We start from the raw sequence: 24,580 nt of genomic DNA on the forward strand, positions 1-24,580 counted from the left end.
GCACAAGACTGTGGTCCCAGCTACTTGGGAGGCTGAGGTGGATTGCCTTAGTCCAGGAGGTCAAGTTTGCAGTGTTACGATGGTACCAGCCTGGGCAACAGAGCCAAGACCCTGTCTCAAAAACAAAAAAAGAAAGAAAAAAGAAAAGAAAAATCTCATGTGAAACCACAATATAGAAAAAAAAAAAGTAGCGTTTTATATAAATTCAAATGTACGGTATAGCATTTATAATCAGAATAATCAGGTTAGTTTGAGGAACATAAAGATTTGAAGTCAGGTTTCATATGGCAGACACGGCCTTTATGAGTATATCTAAGCCTTTATGGGTATATTTCATTGTTTCAATTTTACAGTAGTAAATTTTTGCTCACATAGGTAAATAGGAAAAAAAACATTTAAAAGTAAAACTGACGAGACACTTTCAGCTACCCTGAAGCTCCTCTGCTCAACTGTAAGATACTTAGGACAAACTCCCAGGGTTACTGCTCTGCCCTCAGGAGTCCCTTGAGAAGTGTGGCTGTGTCACCTTATGGGAGGAGTGCCTTCCTGGGGGTTGGTTCTTTGCACATGAGTCATTATTTATGGCAGCCATGCTGGGAGGGCAAGAGGTTTGTACTGGGATGATGATACAGGTCTCCAAACAAGCTTTGATTCCAGATAGAAAAGAATATAGGGTAAAGACATCTGTCATCATTTGCAAGTTATTTTATCCCGTATGCTGGCCCAGCCAAGAAGTCTTTCAAGCAAGTGAAATTGTCAATAAAATCTGTATGTATATATTTTTGGTTCTTCCTTGATCTGTCATCTCAGCTTATTGAACTATAAGGTAGCAGATAGAGTCATCTACTTTCTCCAAAAAGTAACCTAGGCTGCATGGGCTACTTTTCACATTGTCTAACGGGGAAGCCCTACCCAGGCAGCTTTAGCCCTCTAATCACTAGAGATGGGTGTTTACAATTCATTTTTTAATATAAGCTCTCTCATCAAGATTCTAATCACCAGTTGCAAAGCAAGTTAACCTTTTGGAGCTGCATCTCAGATATGGTGCCCAGAACATCAGCACCTGAGAACCTGCCAAAACCATGCCAAAAGGCATGATATCAGGCCCTACCCCAGACCTACTGAATCAGAGATTTAAGATGGAGCTCAGCAATCTAAGTTTTAACCTCTCAAGTGTTTCTGATGCACACTCAACTTTAATGACCCTGATGAGTTGAGAGACGGAGTATAGAGGCAGCTCAGGTGAGGGGTTAGAGGCCAGAGGAGGGCATGGCTAAGAGGGGCGTTCAGCTCTGCTCTGAGAGACACCTCCTGAGCAAAAGCAGCCATGGCACTGAGTTTTATCTTTTCTTCTTTGTGTTGTAGCTGCAGCAGAGAAAAACTAGAAAGCAAATATTTCAGAATGTGTGGTCTTCCAATTCACTAGAGTTCAGATCTCAGCTCTCTATTTGGACAAGTTGCCACTGGAGGAATAGAGTCAGTTACATTACTACTTACTGGGTGTGCAGGGGATAACAAGCTTCCCTTGCCCCAGGTGCTGGGTAGGGACTAGGTCCCAGAACACAAGTATGGCTTGTATTCTGACCATTCCATGCTCTTCCTAACTTAACCAAGAGCTGCCAGGTGCCTATCCCTACCTTGACCTAGAGCAGTTACTTGAAACTTATCTACTTCCCTCAAAGAAACCATAACACAAAGACAGGGCATTGCCCCAGTAATCCACCTTCCTTTCACCAGCACCTGCTGCTGCTCCCTGCCCTGGCCACTCTGGCACACATGTGGGCCTTGTTCATAATCCAACCCAGGTTTTCCACTCATACCTTCACTTTCTAGGAACATATTCCTGGTGTCCTGATTCTTAAAGTCACTCAGTTGTTCACTCCTGGCCACTAGCAATCTGATGAGGGCACATTGTGAGCTGAATTAAGAATACCATCTGGAGCTTGGCATGGTGGTCATGCCTATAATCCTGGCACATTGGGAGGCCTATGTAAGAAGATCACTTGAGCCTGGGAGGTCAAGACTGCAGTTGAAGAGTTCAAGACCAGCCTAGGCAGCATAGCAAGACCCTGTCTCTACAAAAAAATAAAAAATTAGCCCGGCATGTGGCATGTGCCTGTAGTCTCAGCCACTTGGGAGGCTAAGGTGGGAGGATTGCTTGAGCCCAGGAGATCAAAGCTGCAGTGAGCTGTGATGGCACCACTTCATGCCAGTCTGGGCAACAGAGTGAAACCCTGTCTCAAAAGCAAAATATATATATATATCATCTTGTATGAGTGCCATATTAAAGAGCTATATATGGAGATAGAATTAACATGTCATTGCCAAGTTCAGCATATTCTTCTGGCTATACCTGGACATTGTGTGCTTTTCTGCTTTGCAAGTAGTAGAAGGTCCTAGAATCAGCTTCCTCACTGAGGCTTACAAGAAAGATTGACTTGTTACCACCCCTCTTAAAGCTGCTGAAGCCATACATGTAGGTACAGAAACCCAGTCTTTTTTTTTTTCCACATTTCTCTTCATACTATTCTGCCTGATATCTGTCATTACAGACTGTACACTTGCAGGATTTTGCACTCTGGCCACATGGCACAAGAAACCAATTCCTTGTTGTGGTTGGTTGTTCCCTCAGTAGAGAATATCAGTAGCTTTTCAGTGCTTTGCTTTTGTCTTCATTTCCTAATTGCTATCCTGAGGCTTCTCTTAGGAGAATAGTTCCCACTTCTTTGAAAGTTCTTGGTAAGGCTTCTTTCAGCCCTCGAATTTACCCAAGGTCAAATACAGGCGTACCTCAGAGATGTTGCAGGTTCAGTTCCAGACCAGCACAATAAAGCGAGTCACAAGAATTTTTTGTTTCCCAGTGCATACAGAAGTTATGTTTATATAATACTGTAGTCTACTAAGTATGCAACAGCACTGTGTCTAAAAAAAAAAAATGTACATACCTTAATTTTAAAATACATTATTAAAAAATGCTGACGATGAGCCCAGCCTTTAGGGAGTTGTAATCATTTTGCTGCTGGAGGGCCTTGCCTCCACGTGGATGGTTGCTGACTGATCAGGTTGGTAGTTGCTAAACATTGGGGTGTCTGTGGCAGTATCTTTAAATAAGATAGCAAGGAAGTTTGCCACATCAGTTGATTTTTCCTTTCATGAAAGATTTCTCAGTAGCATGCAGTGCTGTTTGATAGCATTTTACCCACAATAGTTCTTCCAGTATTGGACTCAGTCCTCTCAAACCCTGCTGCTGCTTTATCAGCTAAGGTTATGTAATATTTGGGGGTTTGTGCGTGTGTGTGTGTGTGTGACACAGAGCCTCATTCTGTCGCCAGGCTGGAGTGCAGTGGCACAATCTTGGCTCACTGCAACCCCGCCTCCTGGGTTCAAACAATTCTTCTGCCTCAGCCTCCCAAGTAGCTGGGATTACAGGTGTATGCCACCACACCCAGCTAATTTTTCTATTTTTGTAGAGATGGGTTTTCACCATGTTGGCCAGGCTGGTCTCGAACTCCTGAACTCAGGTGATTGGCCTGCCTCAGCCTCCCAAAGTGCTGGGATTATAGGCGTGAGCCACTGTGCCCGGCCAGTTTATGTAATATTCTAAATCCTTTGTTGTCACTTCAACAATGTTCACAACATCTTCACCAGGAGGAGATTCCATCTCAAGAAACCACTTTTTTTGCTCATCCACAGCAAGCAACTCCTCATTCGAGTTGTATCATGAAATTGTAGCAATTTAGTCACATCTTCAAGCGCCACTCGAATTCTAGTTACCTTGTTATTGTCACCACATCTGCAGCAACTTCCTCCACTGAAGTCTTCACCCCCTCAAAGTCATCCATGAGGGTTGAAATCAACTTCTTTTAAACTCCTGTTAATGTTGGTATTTTGACCATCTCAGCAGCCATAGCCATATGAAGTGTATTTCTTTTTTTTTTTTTTTTTTTGAGACGGAGTCTCGCTGTGTCGCCCAGGCTGGAGTGCAGTGGTGCGATCTCGGCTCAGTGCAAGCTCCGCCTCCTGGGTTCACGCCATTCTCCTGCCTCAGCCTCCTGAGTAGCTGGGACTACAGGTGCCCACCACCAAGCCCGGCTAATTTTTTGTATTTTTTAGTAGAGACAGGGTTTCACCGTGGTAGCCAGGATGGTCTTGATCTCCTGACCTCGTGATCCACCCACCTCAGCCTCCCAAAGTGCTGGGATTACAGGCGTGAGCCACCGCGCCTGGCCAATGAAGTGTATTTCTTAAATAATAAGACTATAAAGTCAAAATTACTCCTTGATCTGTGGGCTGTAAAATGGATGTTGTGTTAGGAGGTTTGAAAACAACTTTAATCTCCTTGTTCATCTCAGAGCTCCTCAGTGACCAGGCACATTGTCAGTGAGCAGCAATTTTTTGAAAGGAATCTTCTTTTCTGAACAGTAGGTCTCAACAATAGGCTTAAAATGCTCAGTAAATTATTCTATAAATAGATGTGCTGTCATCCAGGCTATGTTGTTCCATTTCTAGAGCACAGGCAGAGTAGATTTAGCATCATTCTTAAGGGCCCTAAGATTTTTGGAATGGTAAATGAGCACTGGCCTCAACTTAAAGTCACCAGCTGTATTATCGCCTAACAAGAGAGTCAGCCTATCCTTTGAAGCCAGGCATTGAATTATTCTTTCCTGTTGCTTTGAAAGTCCTATACGGCATCTTCTTTCAATATAGTGCTGTTTTCATCTACACTAAAAACATGCTTAGTGTAGCCACCTTCATCAGTGATCTTAGCTAGATCTTCTGAATAACTTTTTGCAGCTTCTATGTCAGCCTTTGCTGCTTCACTTTGCACGTTTATGTTATGGAGATGGCTTCTTTCCTTAAAGCAGTTTCCTCACTCAACCTTGGTAGGATTGAAGAAAGTTAGGGCCTTGCTGTGGTAATCCAAGGCTTTGGCTTAAGGGAATGTTGTGGCTGGTTTGATCTTCTATCCAGACACCTAGAACTTTCTCCATATAAGCAATAAGGCTGTTTTGCTTTCTTATTCATGTGTTCATTGAAGTAGCACTTTTAATTTTGTTAAAGTCTGGCTCTTCCCTTTACTTGAACACTTAAAGGTCATTACAGGATTATTAATTGACCTAATTTCAATATTGTTGTGGCTTAGGGAAGAGGGAAGCCTGAGGAGAGGGAGAGATACAAGGGAATGGCTGGTCAGAGGAGCAGTCAGAACATGCACCGCACTTACCATTTCAGTTAGCTGTCTTATGCGGGTGCAGTTCATGGCACCCCAAAATAATTAAATAGTAACCTCACAGATCATTGATTACAGATCACCATAACAGGTATAAGAATAGTGAAAAGGTTTGAAATATTATGAGAATTACCAAAATATGAAAGAGACATGAAATGAGCACGTGCTATTGGAAAAATTGTGCTGACAAACTTGCTCAATGCAGGATTACCACACATCTTCAATTTGTAAAAAACACAATATCTGTAAAGCACAAAAAGCACAGCACAACAAAATAAAGTCTGCCTGTATAAGAATTTCAACTGGGCATGAATTTTATCCTTTCTATGCTGGGCTCTCTTGATTTGCCTTTTGCTCGGAGAAAAGCTAGAGTTAGCTGCATGCCTTAGTTTCCTGCCTCACAGGAGGAAATGTGGTATTAGGATTTAGTTGTATGCAATTTGTTTCATCTGAACAGAGGAGAAAGTCCCAAAGGAGCCATTCCATCGAATCCATGCCCGAGTGATCTTAAGGAGATGAAAACACAGCATTCCTGGTTATGCTCAGGGTAAACTGCCTGATGCACAGTCAGTATCTCCAAAGAGAAATTATGTATAACAAATCAATTGGGTTATGGTGATATGCTACTTGGCAGAGAAATTAATATTTATCAACTGAACCCAGTGGCAAGCACTCGGATCCCTGTCTCTAAACATTCTGGTCTAAGCACGAGTAGTTCTGTACTCTTCTCTTTGCCATGGGATCTAGTCTGATAGACGAGATCCTAATAGTTCAGGACATGTGGACATATTCAGGCTGAGTGATGGTGCCACCTGTGCTGTAGGTGGAAACAAGGAAACCTCATTGATTACTGTCCAGATAGGGAAGACAGAATTTGACAGCCAGTGGAAAGTGTGGCAGATAGGCTAGTTTGGCACATGATCCTATTTGGATACAAGGAAGCTGCTTTAGCCTCTGAGCACCCAACCTGACTCTAAACAGCAGGCAGAAAAACGTATGCATGTGCATATATTTAGGAGACTGAGCTCTCCTGAAGGCTGTTGCTTCTCTGTCATCGGCACAAACAGCAAAAGGTAAATTTTTCAGTCACCAAAAACTTGTTGATTCTACCATACTGTTTTGCCCTGTTCTTTGTGTTCCACTGACCACACTCTGGCTTCAGAGCCCATCTACCCAAGCATTGTAGAAATTTTAATGTTTGTTCAGTGAATAAATGGGCTCTTTCCCACAATGTGGGACTAACTTTCTGTCAGAACCACCCCCAGGGTCTCCCCTTCTGGTTCATTCTTCATTTTGCCACAGGATTACTAACCCTGAAAACTCAGTTCTCAAGCTGTCAGTGGCCTCCTGTGGCACGGGAACCGTAGGCTGACGGGCCTGGCTCAGGACAGCCTGGCAGGAGGCACCTGCCTGCCCCGCTTCAGCCCCATTGGACACACAGCTCGCCTGCCTATCTCTGTGCATTGGCTCACGCTGTTTGGGCTTGCACGGACAGCACCTCTGTCTCATATGGTTGCAGTCCTATGGCCTTTGGTGCCTGGTTCAAGTGTAAACTCTTAGACAAAGATAGACCAAATCTCTTCTTTCCTCCACCCCTTTCCTGTCTTCCTGCCCCAGCCAAAGGAATCTTCCCCTTCCTGACTCTCGTAGCATTTTATAACTCAGCTACATATGAATTTGGTTTTGTGTGTATGTCTTTTCTTCCTTGTCAAATTCTAAGCTTGTTTTGGTGTATAGACCATGTCATGTATCTTTGCATCTCTACCACACATAGCAAGGTGCCACACACATGTAATTAGTACATGTTGGTTGAATTAATCTATGTCAGGTGACCTTAGGTCTTCTCTAACGCAGAGACTATTTATTTGTGTGCCTTTTATTATGTGTCTACTACCTGCCAGGTATTATATATATGTAATCTCATTTAGAAAGCAGAATTTCGCATTTTCTTTTTTTTTTTCCCCCTTAAGTGATGGTCGGTGAAACTAATGTGAAATGTTATAAAGGCAGAGATACTGGAATTGAAGGAAAAAGAATAATTATCTATGTGTTAGTTTGGGTCATCCAAAAAACAGATGCCAAGATAGGATTAAAAGTACAAGAGATTTACTGGGGGAAACACCTGCAAGGGAAAATGGGGCTGGGAGCTGGAGGCTGTTGGCAGAGTTGGCAGACCCCTGTGGAGGAGGAAAGGCCGGGGGAGCGGGGAAGTTTTCCACTGGAGTGTGGTGCTGAGAAAGTTTCAGCAAAGCCATTGGGGAGCCAGTGCTGCCCCTCAGACGAGTCCCTCCCATGCTCAGGCATTGGCTGGAAGCAGCAGGTGGGAAGGGTGGCCTCTGCATGAATGTGCTGATGGATTTTAGAGTGCAGCCACTCTGTCCCCTGCATTTGGAGAAATACATCTTCATGACTGCCACACCATAGAATCAACCAAGCTAAAAGTTCAAAGGTGGCTTGTGGCACACAGGCCCTTTAGCCAGTTAGGCAAAACGAGGGCCTGGGAAAGAGAATTCTTCCTCTCGTCGGCAGTTTGAATATTTGCAGTCTTAGCTTGGAATGGTCTTTCTGCACTAGAGGGAAACCTCCTTTAGTGCAGACCAGCCTAAAGCCAAGCCATTGCTGCCTGAGGAAGCTGCCATCTCTGGAGCACGGTGACATGCCACCACCCTGGACCTATTCCCATCCCCCGGAGCACTGTGGCATGTAGCCTCTTCGTGCCACTGCAAGGTCAGAAAGCACCTCTGGGCACACCTCCGTCTTTTGGGTCTGCCTCCCCACTAGACTGAGCATTGTGCATAGAAGCTACTTTTATTCTTTACATCCCAGTGGCTTACATGATAGATGCCAAGTAAAATTTCCAGTTTGTACTTTAAATTGTTTTTCTGGCACTGGAGATGGGCTTGCAGTGATCCCTCCATCCATGTAATGGCCCTGGGCTCAGTGGACCATCCAGAGTAGGCTTCTCCACCATGGAGCTGCCCCTCCTCAGGAGTCTGATGTGAGTGGCTCTTGATACTCATTCTCACTTCACTCACTCCATATCACAAGAGCCAAGGATTTCCCAGTACCAACATTTTCTTGGGCTGCTTTTGATGGTTTTTTTTTTCCCCCTTCCTGTCCTCTTTTTCCAACCCCAGAACAAACTGCCAGCGTTCCTGGTTGGTGTTGCTAACTCAGGTCACCCTGAGGCTGCCCTGTCTTTCTCTTGCTTGTTGTGAGCCCCTCCCTCTACGCCCATGTGCCCGAGGCTGTGCCGCTGCCTTGTGCAGGCACCCAGGGTTTATGCCAGTGATTTCCTGACACAAGCAGCAGCACAGAACGTGTGTGTCCCAGGTTTAGGTTTGGGAGGCCTGCCTGGAGAACAGCCATCCCAGGTTCTGGGAGCTTTCTCAATTTACTGTTTTATCCAAAGATGGGTTGGCCTTTCTCTGGACATAGTGAGCTTCCTTGGGCTAGTTCTTAAGCCTGAGACTAAAAGTTCTCACCATGAGTTATTAGGGAGGCCTGTAAAATGTAAAGGCCATGCGTTTTTTTTGCTCTGTTACCCAGGCTGGAGTGCAATGGTATGATCATGGCTCACTGCAGCCCTGAACTCCTTGGGCTCAAGCAATCCTCCTAACTCAGCCTCTGCATAGCTGTGACAACAGGTGTGTGCCACCACACCTAGCTAATTTTTAAATTTTTGTAGATACAGGGTCTCCCTATGTTGCCCAGGCTGGTCTCAAACTCCTAGGCTCACATGATCCTCCTGCCTCAGCCTCCCAAAGTGCTGGGATTACAGGTGTGAGCCACTGCACCCAGCCAAGGCCATGCACCTTTAAGTTCTTTACCTGGGCTTTACTCTAAGATGGGAGGCCTCAGAGTGAGAAAAGCTGCTAAGAAGTGGGAAGGAGCCTGTACCTCTGGTGATTAGGGATTTCTCTTTTCGTCCACCCCCATTCTCACCTCCACTGGAAGTAGACCTGTAAGAAAAATTAAAGCAGTTTAGAAAGGGTTGAAACTGTTTATTCACCCATCCCTGCCAAAATTTTCTGGAACATTCCTAGTTTCAGATGTTCCTTATATCTTAAAACAGCATAAGAACTGTTTTTTGTTTTTAAAAAAAAAATTTGTAGAGATAGAGTCTCACTGCGTTGCTCGGGCTGGTCTTGAACTCCTGGGCTCAAACCCTCCTCTTGCCTCAGCTTCCCAAAGTGCTGGGAATACAGGCATGAGTCACCATGCTTGGCAAGAACCGCTGGCTATAGACCATGACTTTTTTTTTTTTTTTTTTTTGAGACGGAGTCTCACTCTGTCACCCAGGCTGGAGTGCAGTGGCGCAATCTCAGCTCACTGCAACCTCTGCCTCCCAGGTGCAAACGATTGTCCTGCCTCAGCCTCCCTAGTAGCTGGGACTGTAGGCGTATGCCACCACCCTCAGCTGATTTTTGTATTTTTTGTAGAGATAGGGTTTCATCATGTTGGCCAGGCTGGTCTCGAACTCCTGACCTCAGGTGATCCACCCATCTCGGCCTCCCAAAGTGCTGGGATTACAGGCGTGAGCCACCACGCCCATCCTATATACCTCACCCAAGTCGTGTAAATAAAGCCTGAAACTTGGGAAGAGGAGGCTGGACTATTGAGGTCTTATTGAGGTTGCTGTGCAAATCAAGATGATCCCATTTCTAAGAAATGGCTAGTCTGGTATAGAAGCTAAGGATTTGTTTAGGAAAGCAGGAAGCTCTTGAATATGAATCCAAGCTCAGTGGAAATGGGCTGAGTTGAATTACATTTAGCAGGTGGCTGCTGCCGTTCTAGAGAGAAGAGACTTGGAGGGACCTCTGCCCTCACTACCAGGCAGACCTGGCTTGGCAGGGTGCCTTGAGCCTCACTGGAACAGCAGTTGGTTTTCCCAGAACTCACCCCAGAAGCCTGTGTCCTCTGATAGCACTGGCCAGTTAGGACAGGAGGCTTTGATTCCCAGAGAGAGCCAGCAGGACTCCACTCTCATCTATGCAAGCACAGGCTGAGGGTGGATGGCATTAAAGTGACTGCACTGCTGAGTGGGGAATAGGGGCTGGGAACTCTCCTGGAAGCTTTCATCATATTAAAAGTAGGCATTTCTTTAACTGCAAAGAGATACTTTTATATTTTGTACTCAGTGGTAAGGCAAGATTAATTGGTACCTTCCTGCTTCTGTTCATTCCTGTATTCATTTGAGTTTTTGCTTTTACATTACAGGTAAATTAAAAGATCTTGGGAACTTGGTTCTCCGACCTTTTGGGCTCTCCACGGAAAATTTCCAGATCAAACAGGATTCCTCTACCGGCTCGTACTCCATCAATTTCGTTCAAAATCCAAATAATAACAGATAACAAAGATAACAAAAGCTTTACAAGCTGACTTGGAATTGTGTGCTGCTTGCTGTTAGCTAGGGGAAAGGCCCTGCCAATGTTTAACTTTTAAAAGCATCTTATCTAAAAGAAAGGCTATCCAGTAGAGCCCAGTGCTCCCTTGTCCCTCTTTTATGATCAGGGTGAAATGTACTTCCTGATGTAATGAACCTAATTTGATTTCCATTTTAAGGTGGTGTCTGTGCAGCTGGTGTCCCCGATTCTGGCTGTCCTATGTCCAGGAAGAAGCCCATTTGTTGAGGCTGACCTTCCTGATCATACACACACACAGCCCAGCAAAAGCCTCTCCTGAACCAAACAAACCTGTTGGTTGGGAGACTGCCCAGACATGATTGATGACGGGTTCCCGCCTGCTGTCCCCTCCCTGATCACACAGCTAACGAGGCTGCCTCCAGCATTTCCTGATTTCCTCTGTGGTAATAAAAGCTTTCTGTGCTTAGGTCTGGGTTAGGTTGTGAATTTTGTCACGTAACGACAACTAAGGCAGAAGCCTTCTCTGGCTTTGGGAGCAGTGTTGGTTTCAAGCAGGGTTACTGATTCCAGATTCCACAGATCTGCCCAAAGTTTTTGTTGCCTTGAAGATTTATCTTGAAGAGTTGACCATTCTACCATGTACTAGAATTCAGAAAGTCCACCTTACAAGCTATCTTGGGCCCCTCCAGGTTTGTATAGATAATTATAAATCTGTGTTTGACCAAATGTTAATATTTTTAACTTAAAATAGCTTCATTGAGGAATGGTAGTATATGAACCCCAGAACAAAACCATATTCTTTTAAACTACATGAACCTAGAGGTGTCAAAGATAGAATTTTTTTGTGCTCATCAGTTGATGCTAGTGAGAAGCTTGCAGTTGCTCTGGTTTGAGTCTCAAAAGCTTGACATGCAAGTTTCATCTTGGATGTAAATTACACATATAATTCTGTAAGTGACATGCAGTAGTCAGTCATACTCCCAGTGTTAAGGACTATGTGGTTCTTCTCATCTGTTCCTAAAAGCTTTTTATCTTTTTTCTTCTTTTGGTCAAAGTGAACCTCAGAAGAAACTGTTAAATCTGGCATCCAATTTTCCTGAAAATGTGTGTGTGAAAAATCACACAAGTTGTATGGAAACCGTGTGGAATGCTGGATGGTCTGGTAGTCAGTGTTCGGTGCTTCCTGTGCAGCCAGCATTATGCTAGAAAGTGGTTCTCATTTTTTTTTTTTTTTTTTTGAGGGGGGTCTCGCTCTGTCACCCAGGCTGGAGTGCAGTGGCGCAATCTTGGCTCACTACAACCTCTGCCTCCCAGGCTCAAGCAATTCTCCTGCCTCAGCCTCCAGAGTAGCTGGGATTACAGGCATGCACCACCACACCTGGCTAATTTTTTGTATTTTTAGTAGAGACAGAGTTTCACCATGTTAGCCAGGCTGGTCTTGAACTCCCGGCCTCAAGATGATCCACCCACCTTGGCTTTGGATTACAGGCGTGAGCCACCGTGCCCAAACTTTTATTTCAGCAGCCCTTCATAGTCTGGAAAAAAAAATTTTAAGAGCATTTCCATTTATGTGCATTCTATCAATATTTAGTATATTAAAAATTAAGATAGAAAGTGTTAAAGTAATCCCTTTGAAAAATAACATGTTTCCTGTTACTATAAATACTTTTATGTCAGGCCAGGAACGATGGATGGTTTATACCTGTAATCACAGTACTTTGGGAGGCCAACGCAGGAGTATTGCTTGAGGCCAGAGATCCAGACCAGCCTGAGCAACATAGCAAGGTTCCATCTCTACAAAAAAAAGTTTAAAAAAAAAAATTAGCTAGGCGTAGCGGCTTCATGCTACTTGGGAGGCTGAGGCAGGAGGATTGATTGCTTGAGCCCAGGGGTTCAAGGCTGCAGTGAGCTATGATCCCACTGCTGCTCTTCATCCTGGGTGACAGCGAGACCTTGTCTCTAAAAAAAAGTTTTACTGAAATTTTTACAATTTTTATGGAAAAATCTTCCAACTCAAAGACACATTTTAGTGAGAAGAATGACATTTTTGCACATCTCTTTAATGCATGGCTTGATAGAGAACAGCAAGAGTCTCACATCTCTTATATTCAGTTTGTCCTGAGATCACAGTGCAGTCACTGACAAGATAACAGTGAAAAAAATAGACTCTTTAATTTTGTATTATGAAAACAGTTTTCATAAGACAAAATTTTGTCTTATGAAAATAGCTTTCATAATACAAAATACAGATAGACACCTTGAAATGGTCTCCAGAACACCTATGGATCCTTGGACTACATTTTGAGAACTACTGTCACATCGTGCCTTGAGCTCAATGGCTGAGACTTAGCAAAATCAGGGCTGAGATTCCAGAAGGACTATCTGTGCCTCCAAGGAATAGGAAATAGACTTGTTCGTCTAGAAACAGCTTTGGTTAAGAGAAGATGCCCGAGACTACCATTGCCACGAGTGTAGAGGTTTTGTTTCTTAGGCTTCCTCCTCCTCTTCCTCTCAATCACACTGAAATCTTATAGGATGCTACACAAGGCCAATATTACATGCTCCCAGTGGGTGGGCCAAGCAGTGCATTGTCTGGAAAGGAAAGGATCCCAGTAGGTGTGAGCTTGCTTAAGCCAAGGAGTTTTTATCTGGCACTGTTACTTTGCTGCTTCCAACATTTGTAAGAAAAGATATATTCAAACCTTTTGAAAATGTTTGACCATAGAAAATCTTCAGACTTCAAAAGTAGAAAGTAAGTGTTAAGGAAGGAAGGTGGCCTGTATTTGCCTATTGCTGCTAGAATGTGTGATTTTAAAGCTCTGGCCAGGCACCGTGGCTCACACCTGTAATCTCAGAACTTCGGGAGGCCGAGGTGGGCGGATCACCTGAAGTCAGGAGTTCAAGACCAACCTGACCAACATGGTGAAACCCCATCTCTACTAAAAATACACAGATTAGCCAGGCACAATGGCACATGCCTGTAATCCCAGCTACTTGGGAGGCTAAGGCAGGAGAATCGCTTGAACCCAGAAGGCAGAGATTGCAGTGAGCCAAGATCATGCCACTGCAGTCCAGCCTAGGTGACAGAGCAAGCCTCCATCTCAAAAAATAAAAAGTTCTGTGATGCTCCCCCTAACCCACCACCAAAAAAGCATACCAGAATTTACTTTTAAGGTAATCATACTGTGACGTTGTACATATTCTTATTCCGACAATATTGCAATGGGTCAAAATAATTTTTGGAGGCTGGGTGCGGTGGCTCAAGTAATCCCAGCACTCTAGGAGGCTGAGGCAGGCAGATCACCTGAGGTCAGGAGTTTGAGACCAGCCTGGCCAATGTGGTGAAACCTCGTCTCTACTAAAAATACAAAATTAGCCGGGCGTGGTGGCGGGCGCCTGTAATCCCAGCTACCCAGGAGGCTGAGGCAGGAGAATCGTTTGGACCCAACAGGCGGAGGTTGCAGTAAGCTGAGATCGTGCCACTGCACTCCAGCTTGGGTGACACAGTGAGACCCTGTCTCAAAAAAATAATAATTTTTGATCTTTTAGAATTGCCCTGGAGACTCTGAGAAACATTCTTTAAAATATTATCTACTCTTTCTCATCTGCCTCCTGAGTAGACCATGAGCTCATGGAAAGGGCCACATTTATGTTGTTAATAGCACCAGCAGCTACCACTGTATTAGAGACTTAGTGAACTGGTATTAAAGGATATCCACAAGACGTGGTTTTAGTGTGAACAACCATCAGTATTCAAAAGTCTTCTAATTCTGTGCCATTTAATGCCTGTTTTTTCAAATGTCTCCTTCACTACTAACCAATATCTGTTACCTCAAGATCAATAGAAACTAGTCATCTCCATAAATTTTAAGACCCAGCAAGTAATTCAAATGTCAGCTTAGGAGGCTTACTTGCTATTTTTTCTCAGCGGCGCACAGTGGCTCAGGGCCTGTAATCCTAGCACTTTGGGAGGCTGAGGCTGGGGCTGGCAGACTGCTTTAGCTCAGGAGTTCGAGACCAGCCTGAGCAATATGGTGAAACCCCGTCTCTACAAAAAACTACTTGGGTGTGGTGGTGTGTGCCTGTAGTCCCAGCTACTTGAGGGGCTGAGGCAGGAGGATTGCTTGAGCCCAGGAGGTCGAGGCTGCAGTGAACTGAGATCATGCCACTGCACTCTAGCCTGGGTGACAAAGTGAAACCAACCTATCTAAAAAAAAAAAGGCTTACTTGCTATTTTTCACAGTCCAAAGAATGCAGTGGGAGACAGAGACAACAGCTTGGTATCACCGAATCAAGGTCAGTAACTTATCTGTGACTTAACCCGGTATTGCCCAAAGTGGCCACCTCACCCTGGAGTTTCTGGACCTAGTTACTCAAGTAAACTTTCTTAGTAGTGTTATTTCGTTAAGTGTGTAGTTCTGGCAAATTTGGAGGGCTCAGCTAGGGTTTCTCAACAGTGAATCCAGTAATCATACCCATGAAGCTCAAAACAACATTCTGTAGGCTGAGCACAGTGGCTCAAGCCTGTGTAATCCCAACACTTTGGGAGGCCAAGGCGGGAGGATCACTTGAGCTCAGAAGTTTGAGACCAGCCTGGGCAACATAGCGAAACCCCATCTCTATAAAAATAAATACATAATAAAAATAAAAAGCATTCTGTAAAGAAGGTCACTCTAAGCCAGTCTAGCCTGTCTTGCACGGCCATGTAGAATGAACATTCAACCTGGCATGTAAGCGTTTGTCTCCTGGTTTTTAAGTTTTCATTTTTTGCATCTTGGATATTTCCAAGAATTAAAAAAATCCCCAACTTTTCCTTTCGTTTCAGTCTCCTCACCTCCAGGCCACATTTCCATCAAGTCTTGTGTTTTCTGTATATTCCCACACTGTATCGTAACTACTTTTCCAGTTTTCACAGAAGCAGCTTTTCCATTGGTTGGGGCCTCTGCAGGAGGCTTCCCCAGGAAATTGGGATTTCTACAACAAATTCATACTCATATGGTGGTCTTTCTGTGTAGAGTGCACTGTGGATTCATTCTTTCATTTTACTCATGGATCCATGCTGTTAAATTCACCTATTTTAAAAATCTCAACCATTTTTCTAAGAACTAGCTGGGTGCAGTGGCTCACACCTGTAATCCCAACACTTTGGGAGGCAGAGGCAGGAGGATCACTTGAAACCAGGAGTTCAAGACCTTAGCCTAGTCAACATACTAAGACCCCATCTCTACCAAAAAATGTTTTAAAACCAAGCAAGGCATGGTGGCACATGCTTTCAGCCCCAGCTAGTTGGGAGGCTGAGGCAGGAGGATCACTTGAGCCCAGGAGTTTGAGGCTGCAGTGAGCTATGACCGAGCCACCACACTCCAGCCTGGGTAACAGTGAGAGACCCTGTCTCTGAAAGAAAAAAACAAAAAACAAAAAACTATGCTTTTCCATGTGTGCTTCCCTTCCATCACAAGCACTGCAGCCAGTTTGTTGTGGTTGTTTTTTAGCCTTTTGCTCCTTGTCCCATTCCCTGCAAAACACACATCATCTCACTTTACAAATAACTGTACTTAAGGAGACAGTGTTATACCATGTCTAAATGTGGAGGCTGGGGAGTCACTAAGCCTACATGTTATAGATGTCCCTATAACTTTAGGGACATGGTGGCACTGGACATACATCTGAGCTTCGGCAAAATGACAAGACCTCATACGCTGTCCTTCAGAGCTGCTTGGATATAGCCAAAGACATGAATGTTTGTGTAATCCATAAATGCTGAGAGTTGCAGTTCCTACGACGTTTTATGTAACTGAAAGTAGGGGAGTGCTTTAAGAAATGTTGCTGGCCAGGCGCCGTGGCTCACGCCTGTAATCCCAGCACTTTGGGAGGCCAACGCGGGCAAATAGCTTTAGCCCAGGAGTTTGAGACCAGCCTGGGCAACATGGCGAAACCCTATCTTTAGTAAAAATACAAAAAGTTAGCCAGGCATGGTGGTACACACCTGTAGTCCCAGCTACTTAGGAGGCTGAGGTGGGAGGATCACCAGAGCCCAGGAAGTCAAGGCTGCAGTGAGCCAAGATGGCACCACTGCATTCCAGCCTGGGAATGAGACCCTGTCTCAAAAAGAAAAAGAGATGTTGCCGGGCTTAGTAGTTATTTCTGGTGCTCCTTTTTAGTCTCTGAGCTGGCCTCTGAGACTACTGGTAAGTAACATTTCACTCAACTTTCAAGCTAGAATCTAAGTTGGTGCAGGAAGACCCGGCGCAGGAGCTTTTTAGAGGCATTTTACTGCCTGAATAGATAGTGGGATGAGAAGCTGGCGGCAGGCGGCAGATGTAAACCTGTTGGAAGATACATCTTTGCAAGCATGGTCTGATCCCAAGAACTAAGCAGGCCTGCAAATCCTTTTACCACCAGTTCTGCAGAACTTGGGATGTCAAAGGGAAAGGCTATGATTAAGACAGTTGTGCAAGTGAATGGTTGCTTTAATCTTGGGAAAGATCTTTAAGAGGAAGAGTCCAATAATCCCCCAAGACCAAAGCGCAAATCTGAGACACCACGTAGGATGGGAAATATCTTGACGAGCCCTCATCCGTTTCCTCTGCTTGTTATCTGTGCTCTCTCCAGATTGCCCTTGGCTTAAGAGGAAAGGCTGGAGCTGTTGGCTCTCAGCTGCGCAGCCCCCATTCAGATGCAGCCTTATGAGCCTGCAGCTGATGGTCGCTGCCAGCTGGATTGTATGTTCCTTCCTGTTGTTTTCTGTGATCACTTCCCTTCATTACTGTGCCGGTTTCCTCCATATGCTCGTCCCTCCCCTTAAAAAATACAGGAGGGATGAGGATAGGGAAGAGAAACTCTTCCTCTGATCTTATCTGTGGATACTCTGTACTTGATACATACCCATACAATCTTAGTCAAATCTCCTTGAAGTGATTTCAGTTAGGATTCTTGCCAGCCTGCTTCCTCGGTACTTGATAGTAACAAGCTTAATCCTTCCATCACCTGGATTTCCTTTAAAAAAGTATGTGCGCATTCCACCAGAAGTGGCTGAAAAATCTGTTCCTTCAGTGAACTGCACAATTAAAAGCTGTACAGGGAAAGGAAGCTATAATTTGCAATCACTTCCTCCTGTTGTGTGCAGAGCTATCCTGACCTCACACTAAACCAGATCCATTAATGCTTCTGAAAATGAAAAATTGATTACTGTGCTTGCTTCAGCAGCACATATACTAAAATTGGAATGATAGAAGATTAGCATGGACTCTGAAAAAAAGTCAATTAAAAAAAATGGATTACTTGCTACCAGCCAGTTCAAGAGGTAGGGTGAAAATAACGTTAGCGCATGAGAATGACTGCTTACAACCCTTCAAGGGGCAGTTTATGAGCTGGGCACAGTGGCTCAGGCCTGTAATCCCAGCACCTGCGGGGGGCGAGGTGGGAGGATTGCTTTCGCCCAGGAGTTTAGAACTACCTGGATAACAGAGAAACCCCGTCGCTACAAAATAAATACTTTTTTTGTTAGCTCGGGGTGGTAGTGCACACCTGTAGTCCCAGCTACTCAGGAGGCTGAGGCAGGAAGACCACTTGAACCACAAGGTTGAGGCTGCAGTGAGCCATGGCTGCACCACTGCACTCCAGCCTGGGCAACAGAGCGAGACTCCGTCTCATAAATAAATAAATAAATAATAAAACAAAAATTAGCCAGGTGTGATGGCAGGTGCCTGCATTCCAGCCTGGGTAACAGAGTGAGACTCCGTCTCAAAAATAAATAAATGAATAAGTAAATCAAAAATTAGCCAGGCATGATGGCAGGTGCCTGTAATCCCAGCTACTCGGGAGGCTGAGGTGGGAGAATCACTTGAACCTGGGAGGCGGAAGTTGCAGTGTGCCGAGATTGCACCATTACACTCCAGCCTGGGCAACAAGAGCGAGGCTCCGTCTCAAAAAAAAAAAAAAAAAAAAAAAAAAAAATCCTAACATCTCCCCAGGGGTTTCGGCCTTGGCTGAGTAGGAACTGAAGAGCTTGGTGAGATGGATTTCTACACCTCATTTTGCCAATAAGGCTGCTGTGTGACTTTGCTGTCAAAGGTCATTGATAGAACTGATAACAGAATCCATGTCTCCTACCTCTTTAGACTAAGGCAGGTTATTAGTATAAAAACATTTCTTTTTTTTTTTTTTCTTGAGACGGAGTCTCACTTTGTTGCCCAGGCTGGAGTACAGTGGCGCGATCTCAGCTCACTGCAAGCTCTGCCTCCCGGGTTCACGCCATCCTCCTGCCTCAGCCTCCCGAGTAGCTGGGACTAGAGGTACCCACCACCACGCCCGGCTAATTTTTGTATTTTTAGTAGAGACAGAGTTTCACCGTGTTAGCCAGGATGGTCTCGATCTCCTGACCTCATGATCCACCCTCCTCGACCTCCCAAAGTACTGGGATTACAGGCGTGAGCCACCATGCCCGGCCAAAAACATCTTTAACATCACCAAGCCACTTTCCCTCCTTTAGACAGCTGCTTCTACAAACTTGCCTCACAAGGAAATAATGAAAGGGCTAACCCTGAAAGTACTCTTAACGCTTAAAGACAATGTCTTCCCACTGTTTGGCCAGCTCTCTCTTCTTCTGGCACAGTTTTCCTGAATCATACTCTCCTTTACCCCAAGCTCACTACCTTGTTGGTACCAAAGCAAAGGAATTGTTAAGGCCATGAAATTTCATTCCAAGCCGGGTGCGGTGGCTCACACCTGTAATCCCAGCACTTTGGGAGGTCAAAGCGGGTGGATCACTTGAGGTTGGGAGTTCAAGACCAGCCTGGCCAACATGGCGAAACCCCTTCCCTACTAAAAATACAAAAATTAGCCGGGCATGGGGGTAAGCACCTGTAATCCCAACTACTCAGGAGGCTGAGGAAGGAGAATCTCTTGAACCCAGGGGGCAGAGGTTGCAGTGAGCCGAGATCGTGCCACTGCACTCCAGCCTGGGTGACAGAGTGAGACTCCGTTTCAAAAAAAAAAAAAAAAAATTTCATTCCGATTAAGCAAAGATTTGGCAGCATGCTAATCACTAGAGAAAAGGATGCTTAAAAAATAACATATTCTGGCCAGGCAGTGGCTCACACCTGTAATCTCAGCACTTTGGGAGGCTGAGGCAGGTGGATCACCTCAGATCAGGAGTTCGAGACCAGCCTGACCAACATGGAGAAACCCTGTCTCTACTAAAAATACAAAATTAGCTGGGAGTTGTGGCACATGCCTGTAATCCCAGCTATTCGGGAGGCTGAGGCAGGAGAATCGCTTGATCCCAGGAGGTGGAGGTTGCAGTGAGCCGAGATCGCACCACTGCACTCCAGCCTGGGCAACAAGAGCGAAAATCTGTCTCAAAAAAATAAATAAATAAATAAATAAAGTCCAGGCACAGTTGTTCACGCTGTAATCCCAGCACTTTGCGAAGCCGAGGCAGGCGGATCACCTGAGATCGGGAGTTTGAGACCAGCCTGACCAACAGGGAGAAACCTCATCTCTACTAAAAATACAGAATTAGCCAGGGGTGGTGGCGCATGCCTGTAAACTCAGCTACTTGGGAGGCTGAGGCAGGAGAATTGCTTGAACCCGGGAGGCGGAGGTTGCAGTGAGCCAAGATCGTGCCATTGCACTCCAGCCTGGGCAACAAGAGCAAGACTCCGTCTCAAAAAAACAAAAAAAAAAACAAAAAAAACCTCTTTATTCAAATAATTTCTTATTCTGATAAAAGAATCATGGCCAGGTGCAGTGGCTCATGCCTATAATCCCAGCACTTTGGGAGGCCGAGGCAGGAGGATCACTTGAGCCCAGGAGTTTGAGACCAGCCTGGACAACAAAGCGAGACCTTGTCTCTATTATTTAAATTAAAAAAAAAAAATCTTTACTTGAAAAAGGAAAAATGAACTTACGCTTTCTTATGTGAAGGCCAGCATTGGTAAGATTTTCAGTTGCTTCTATTGGTTCCATCATTCATTCCCTCCATCTTGTAGGAGTTGTGTCTATAAATATACTGATACATGTATACATGACCAGGATCAGTATGAGTCTCCTGTAGGCCCTCTCAGATAATGAGCACATGGCTTGTTAATCTTCCCTGGTTCTCCCTGTTCCATTTTCATTAGTGAGAAATTTGAGAGAAAAAAGATATTAGCAGAGCCAGATTCCTGTGGTCTCTTTTTTACACTCATTTAAATAAACTGAAATGGGAGAATGTTTGAGATTAAAGCCTTCATGTACTCTGGAATAACAGGCAGCCAAAGGATTGCTTTTCTTGAACAGAAAAAAAAAGTACATTGACCTAAGTTTCTGGGTCAGTCCTGTGAACTGTCTGTAGGTTTTAAAAGGCTAATTTTTTCCTGATAACCAAGTGTTTCTGATTCTTAGGTCAAACCCTTGACCTCTCACTCAATGTGCTGGGCTCTTAAAGAAGCAACCATTTATCCATAAGGGCAGGATTCCTTAAAATTAAAACAAAAGAAAACAAGACAAACCCAGCAGCAGATATTTAATTACATCCAATTCTGAAGGGTAGGTTGTTTCTATCGAAAAGCTGTTATGTTTGTGCACAGGGTCCTAATTAAACTGTTCACCCTTCCTCCATCCTTCGTCATAAAGAGGTCCCATAAAATCTCCTAGTGATTAGAAACCTACAGGCTGTTCTCCTTAGGAAGCATTGCTACTGAAAACAGCTCCCTAAAGTACAACTAGTGATTGAATTCTAATAGTAAAAAAAAAAAAAAAAAAAAAAAAAATCTTTAAAAACTAACTCCTAAAAAGTAAACATAATTTTTAAATAACTAAATTTTTAAAAAATCAAAGACTTTATTGGATAAAGGTTACACAACATTCTTTAACATTTAAAACTCTGAGCATACTTAAGATGAGAAACAATTTTTATCATTCAAGTCTACAAAACAAAATAGGCTTATGAAGATTGAAATACAGACAAAAGGTAGCATGAAGCAAAGCTTAAATATTAAGCAACTAAAGCAATGAAAGTGAAATAGCAACATGGTAGGTGTAGGTTTTAAATACCACCAAGTCTCATTTTTTAAAAAATGAAAATCTGGTTTGTAACAAAACACCTTTGAGAATATGCCATGAGAAAAAAAAAATATTTATATACTTAAAACCTGATCTCTCCCAATTCTTTTGCTTTATATTATTACTTCTTGGTCATTTCCATCACTCTACACAAATAAAGAATTCTAAAGCTTAATTAAAAATCTTGATTATACACTTCATGTATCATGGTTTGGGAGAGTTATCTGGTTCTTGAAGTGAGCCCGAAAGTACTGCTGGTGTTATGTATCTGAAAGAACAAGACTGACCCAAACCAAAGCCCTAGGCCATATAGAGTAGGGCACCCCTATAGTATAGTTCATGTCATCTTTAGAACTCCCTGCTGCTACAGTTCCTGAGCTGACTTTTTCTGATTTGATAAAATATATAATGACTTCATAATATGTAATTTTCCAAACAGACAATTGTAGAATGCAATCAAAACTTTAAATTATTTGCAGTATAATTAGAATTTGCATTAAGCTCATTAGACACAAGACTGCCTGCCTTTTCTTCAAGTTGTAAAACAAATCATAGGTATATTAAATGTTTTAAAACTCACCCAGAACCTTCTGTTAATCCTGAGCCTGGGGTTATTAGGTAATTCCAAACTTACACAGTAACATTATGAAAAGTCTGACCACTTGAGCCAAGTGCTCAGTTATCTGTTACGTTGCTTCATATGAATTTTAAGGTTTTTTATTTTTTGGCATATTTTCCCTTTTTTGTAGTAAGTAATCAATATGGATTATCTTTCTGGTTTAAAAAATAAATCAGTATTGCCACTAAAAAACTTCAGTTTTATTATTATTAAAAGTACGGCACCATCAAATATAAAATGCCTTAAAAATGTAGTACTAACAGGTCCATCTGGTTTTCTCATGTTTTCTCCATTCATTAAAAAAGAAAAATTAAGGTCTTTTATATATTTACCAAAGACAAGAAAAAAACTACAGTCTCTATTAGTAAGAATTCATGCTCCATGCATGAGAAGTTTGACACTGTTTTAAAGGATCCTGTTCCTGCCACTTGTTGTCCCCCAGGGCCAAGTCCTACTGACACCTGTTGGAATTTCTTGCACTTAGGAGCGGCTCTCTATGGAGAGAGGTCCACATCAAAATTTAGACGTTGTCACCTTTTTTGAACTAGATAAAACCAGTAAGGATACAGACAATAATAAAAGGCTTTCCAACTCAGCAGAATTAAGAACTAGCTCTTGGAGTATATACATTTGCACTCCAATATCAACACTAGCCTATCCACTTTGAGTCAAAATTTGAAAGGTAAGAATGTAATTATGAAAATGTGCACAAAATGTTAAATACTAGTGGCAAATAAATATATCTTAATATGTTCTAACAAGCAAACATATATTCAAGATAATACAGCCCTGCTTTATTAAAGAAGGAAAAGATCCAAATTGTGTTTGTGGGGTGGGGCGGGGCACTTTGCCATCCTTTCAGCAGGATGTTATTTTCTGTTGTTTCTACTGGCACCTTGAAGGAAACATTGGCCTTGGCATATGTGACTATTGCTTTTCATAGAAGAGCCATTTTAGAAATACCTTTGCTCATATCTGAACTGATTAACCTAAACCTTGGAGAAAGCACAAAGTTTAAGTATGAAAAATAATTCAGCATTTCTGCATCATCCCATGCCTTTTAGGCCTGTCCAAACTGTACTGATAAGAACTTCACATTCCAAAGAAGTTACTGTCAGTGTTTCTTCATATATAAAATTCAAGTGAGTTCTTACGTGTGTAATTCACATCATTTTTCTCCTCATCTCATGCATAATTTATTGCAAGTTTATTTTTTATAAAATATTCCCTAATACCTTTTCTTCGGTTTAAGACAGCACAATTTGCAAGTGCCCCTTTATAGACTGTTGTTTTTAACCACTGCCTTAACATTTACTTCTTAGTGCAGCTTTAAAAACTCCAATTTCATTCAGTCCTGATGCTCTGGTGTTCTCTGTGTCATTGTGGTACAGGTCCATGAAACCAGCAGCCTGCTAATGTCTTTGTGCTGAAATATAGTAAAGAAAAGGAAGAAAATGTCGTTAAGCACAAGTAATTATATGAGGAAAATGATGTCCTTGTTGTTTAAGCCCTACATAGATTGTGGGATCACACCTGATTTTTTCTTTTAAATCGGTTAAACCTGACCGATGTTGTTTTGAGAAAACAACTTACTGCCACTCTAAACCAGCAGAAATATTCATGTTATTTCTGAAGTATTATCAGGCCAGTTTCCAACACAAGTAAAATGGCTGTCATCTTTACATAATCAATGTGCACTTGAGTGTTTTTTTAAAATACTTGCTTATAAATGCCTAGTAACAGGGGAATTTTAACTTTGTTCCTTATATCGCCATTTCACAGTACAGTGCTCTGAGAGTCAGCTTAGTTGCTGGGGACTGCTATGAAGCACCAACAGCCTTCTACTAGCACAGACTAGCCTACAGTTTTAAGGAACAAATTTATATACAGAGCCAGGCTATGTACAAATCAGCAGCAGGTCACACTGTCCACATACTTGCAAAGAGCAAAATAAGAAGGGAATGGAGGGTGCCTCCCCAGAAGTAGACACAGCACATCGGAAGGCATGAAGAGCACCATTTTGATACTAGAAGACAACACATGTACACTGGTTAGACGGACCAGTATCCCTTGTTACACCAGCAAACGTGATTCTCAGCAGAGGCCTCTTCACCATACCTCCAACAAGAAGCAGGACTCCAAGCGCACTGTTTATAAAGGGCAAGGCTTATACAAATTACTGCTAAATAGCATGACCAGAATGATCAACACTACTAACCTCCGTCTAATACTACGAAGTAGAAAGAAGCCCACTGAAACCCTCTACAATCCCTGATTATGCCTCTCAAACCTGGAAACCCAAGTACCAACACGAGTTTG

General features: G+C 43.3%; 2 protein-coding genes across 11 annotated transcripts in view, besides 2 other annotated features; one reads left to right on the forward strand and one right to left on the reverse strand.

Moving 5' to 3' along the window:
* TTC1 (tetratricopeptide repeat domain 1) overlaps positions 1–11,062 on the forward strand; it is a 56,405-nt gene extending 45,343 nt beyond the window's left edge. For both annotated transcript variants that reach the window (NM_003314.3, NM_001282500.2), the window contains exon 8: positions 10,451–11,062. In NM_003314.3, the coding sequence (NP_003305.1) occupies positions 10,451–10,584 (134 nt within the window). In that variant the 3' untranslated portion in view covers positions 10,585–11,062. The remainder of the gene's footprint in view (positions 1–10,450) is intronic.
* PWWP2A (PWWP domain containing 2A) overlaps positions 1–24,580 on the reverse strand; it is a 75,135-nt gene that overhangs the window by 10,166 nt on the left and 40,389 nt on the right. For 7 of the 9 annotated variants that reach the window (NR_146216.2, NR_146217.2, NM_001267035.3 and 4 more), the window contains one exon: positions 21,401–23,687. Coding sequence is in view for 6 of the 9 variants with exons in the window: in NM_001267035.3 (NP_001253964.1) it covers positions 23,674–23,687 (14 nt within the window). In the remaining 3 variants the exon portion in view is untranslated. Of the gene's footprint in view, positions 1–4,217; positions 5,157–9,060; positions 9,193–21,400; positions 23,688–24,580 lie in introns of those variants that run through there. The other 2 variants (XR_007058578.1, XM_011534424.4) reach the window with 2 other exon arrangements.
* Positions 6,121–6,632: an enhancer, noted in NCBI's record as "H3K4me1 hESC enhancer chr5:159487609-159488120 (GRCh37/hg19 assembly coordinates)". NCBI's record gives its function as "activates a minimal SCP1, AML or CMV promoter by ChIP-STARR-seq in primed H9 embryonic stem cells {active_cell/tissue: H9 hESC(primed)}" and the evidence as "EXISTENCE:reporter gene assay evidence [ECO:0000049][PMID:30033119]".
* Positions 17,088–17,288: a silencer, noted in NCBI's record as "peak5557 fragment used in MPRA reporter construct". NCBI's record gives its function as "represses an SCP1 promoter by STARR-seq MPRAs in K562 erythroleukemia cells {active_cell/tissue: K562}" and the evidence as "EXISTENCE:reporter gene assay evidence [ECO:0000049][PMID:32103011]".

This window comes from Homo sapiens, chromosome 5 (genome assembly GCF_000001405.40).
Source record: "Homo sapiens chromosome 5, GRCh38.p14 Primary Assembly".
NCBI lineage: Eukaryota > Metazoa > Chordata > Mammalia > Primates > Hominidae > Homo > Homo sapiens.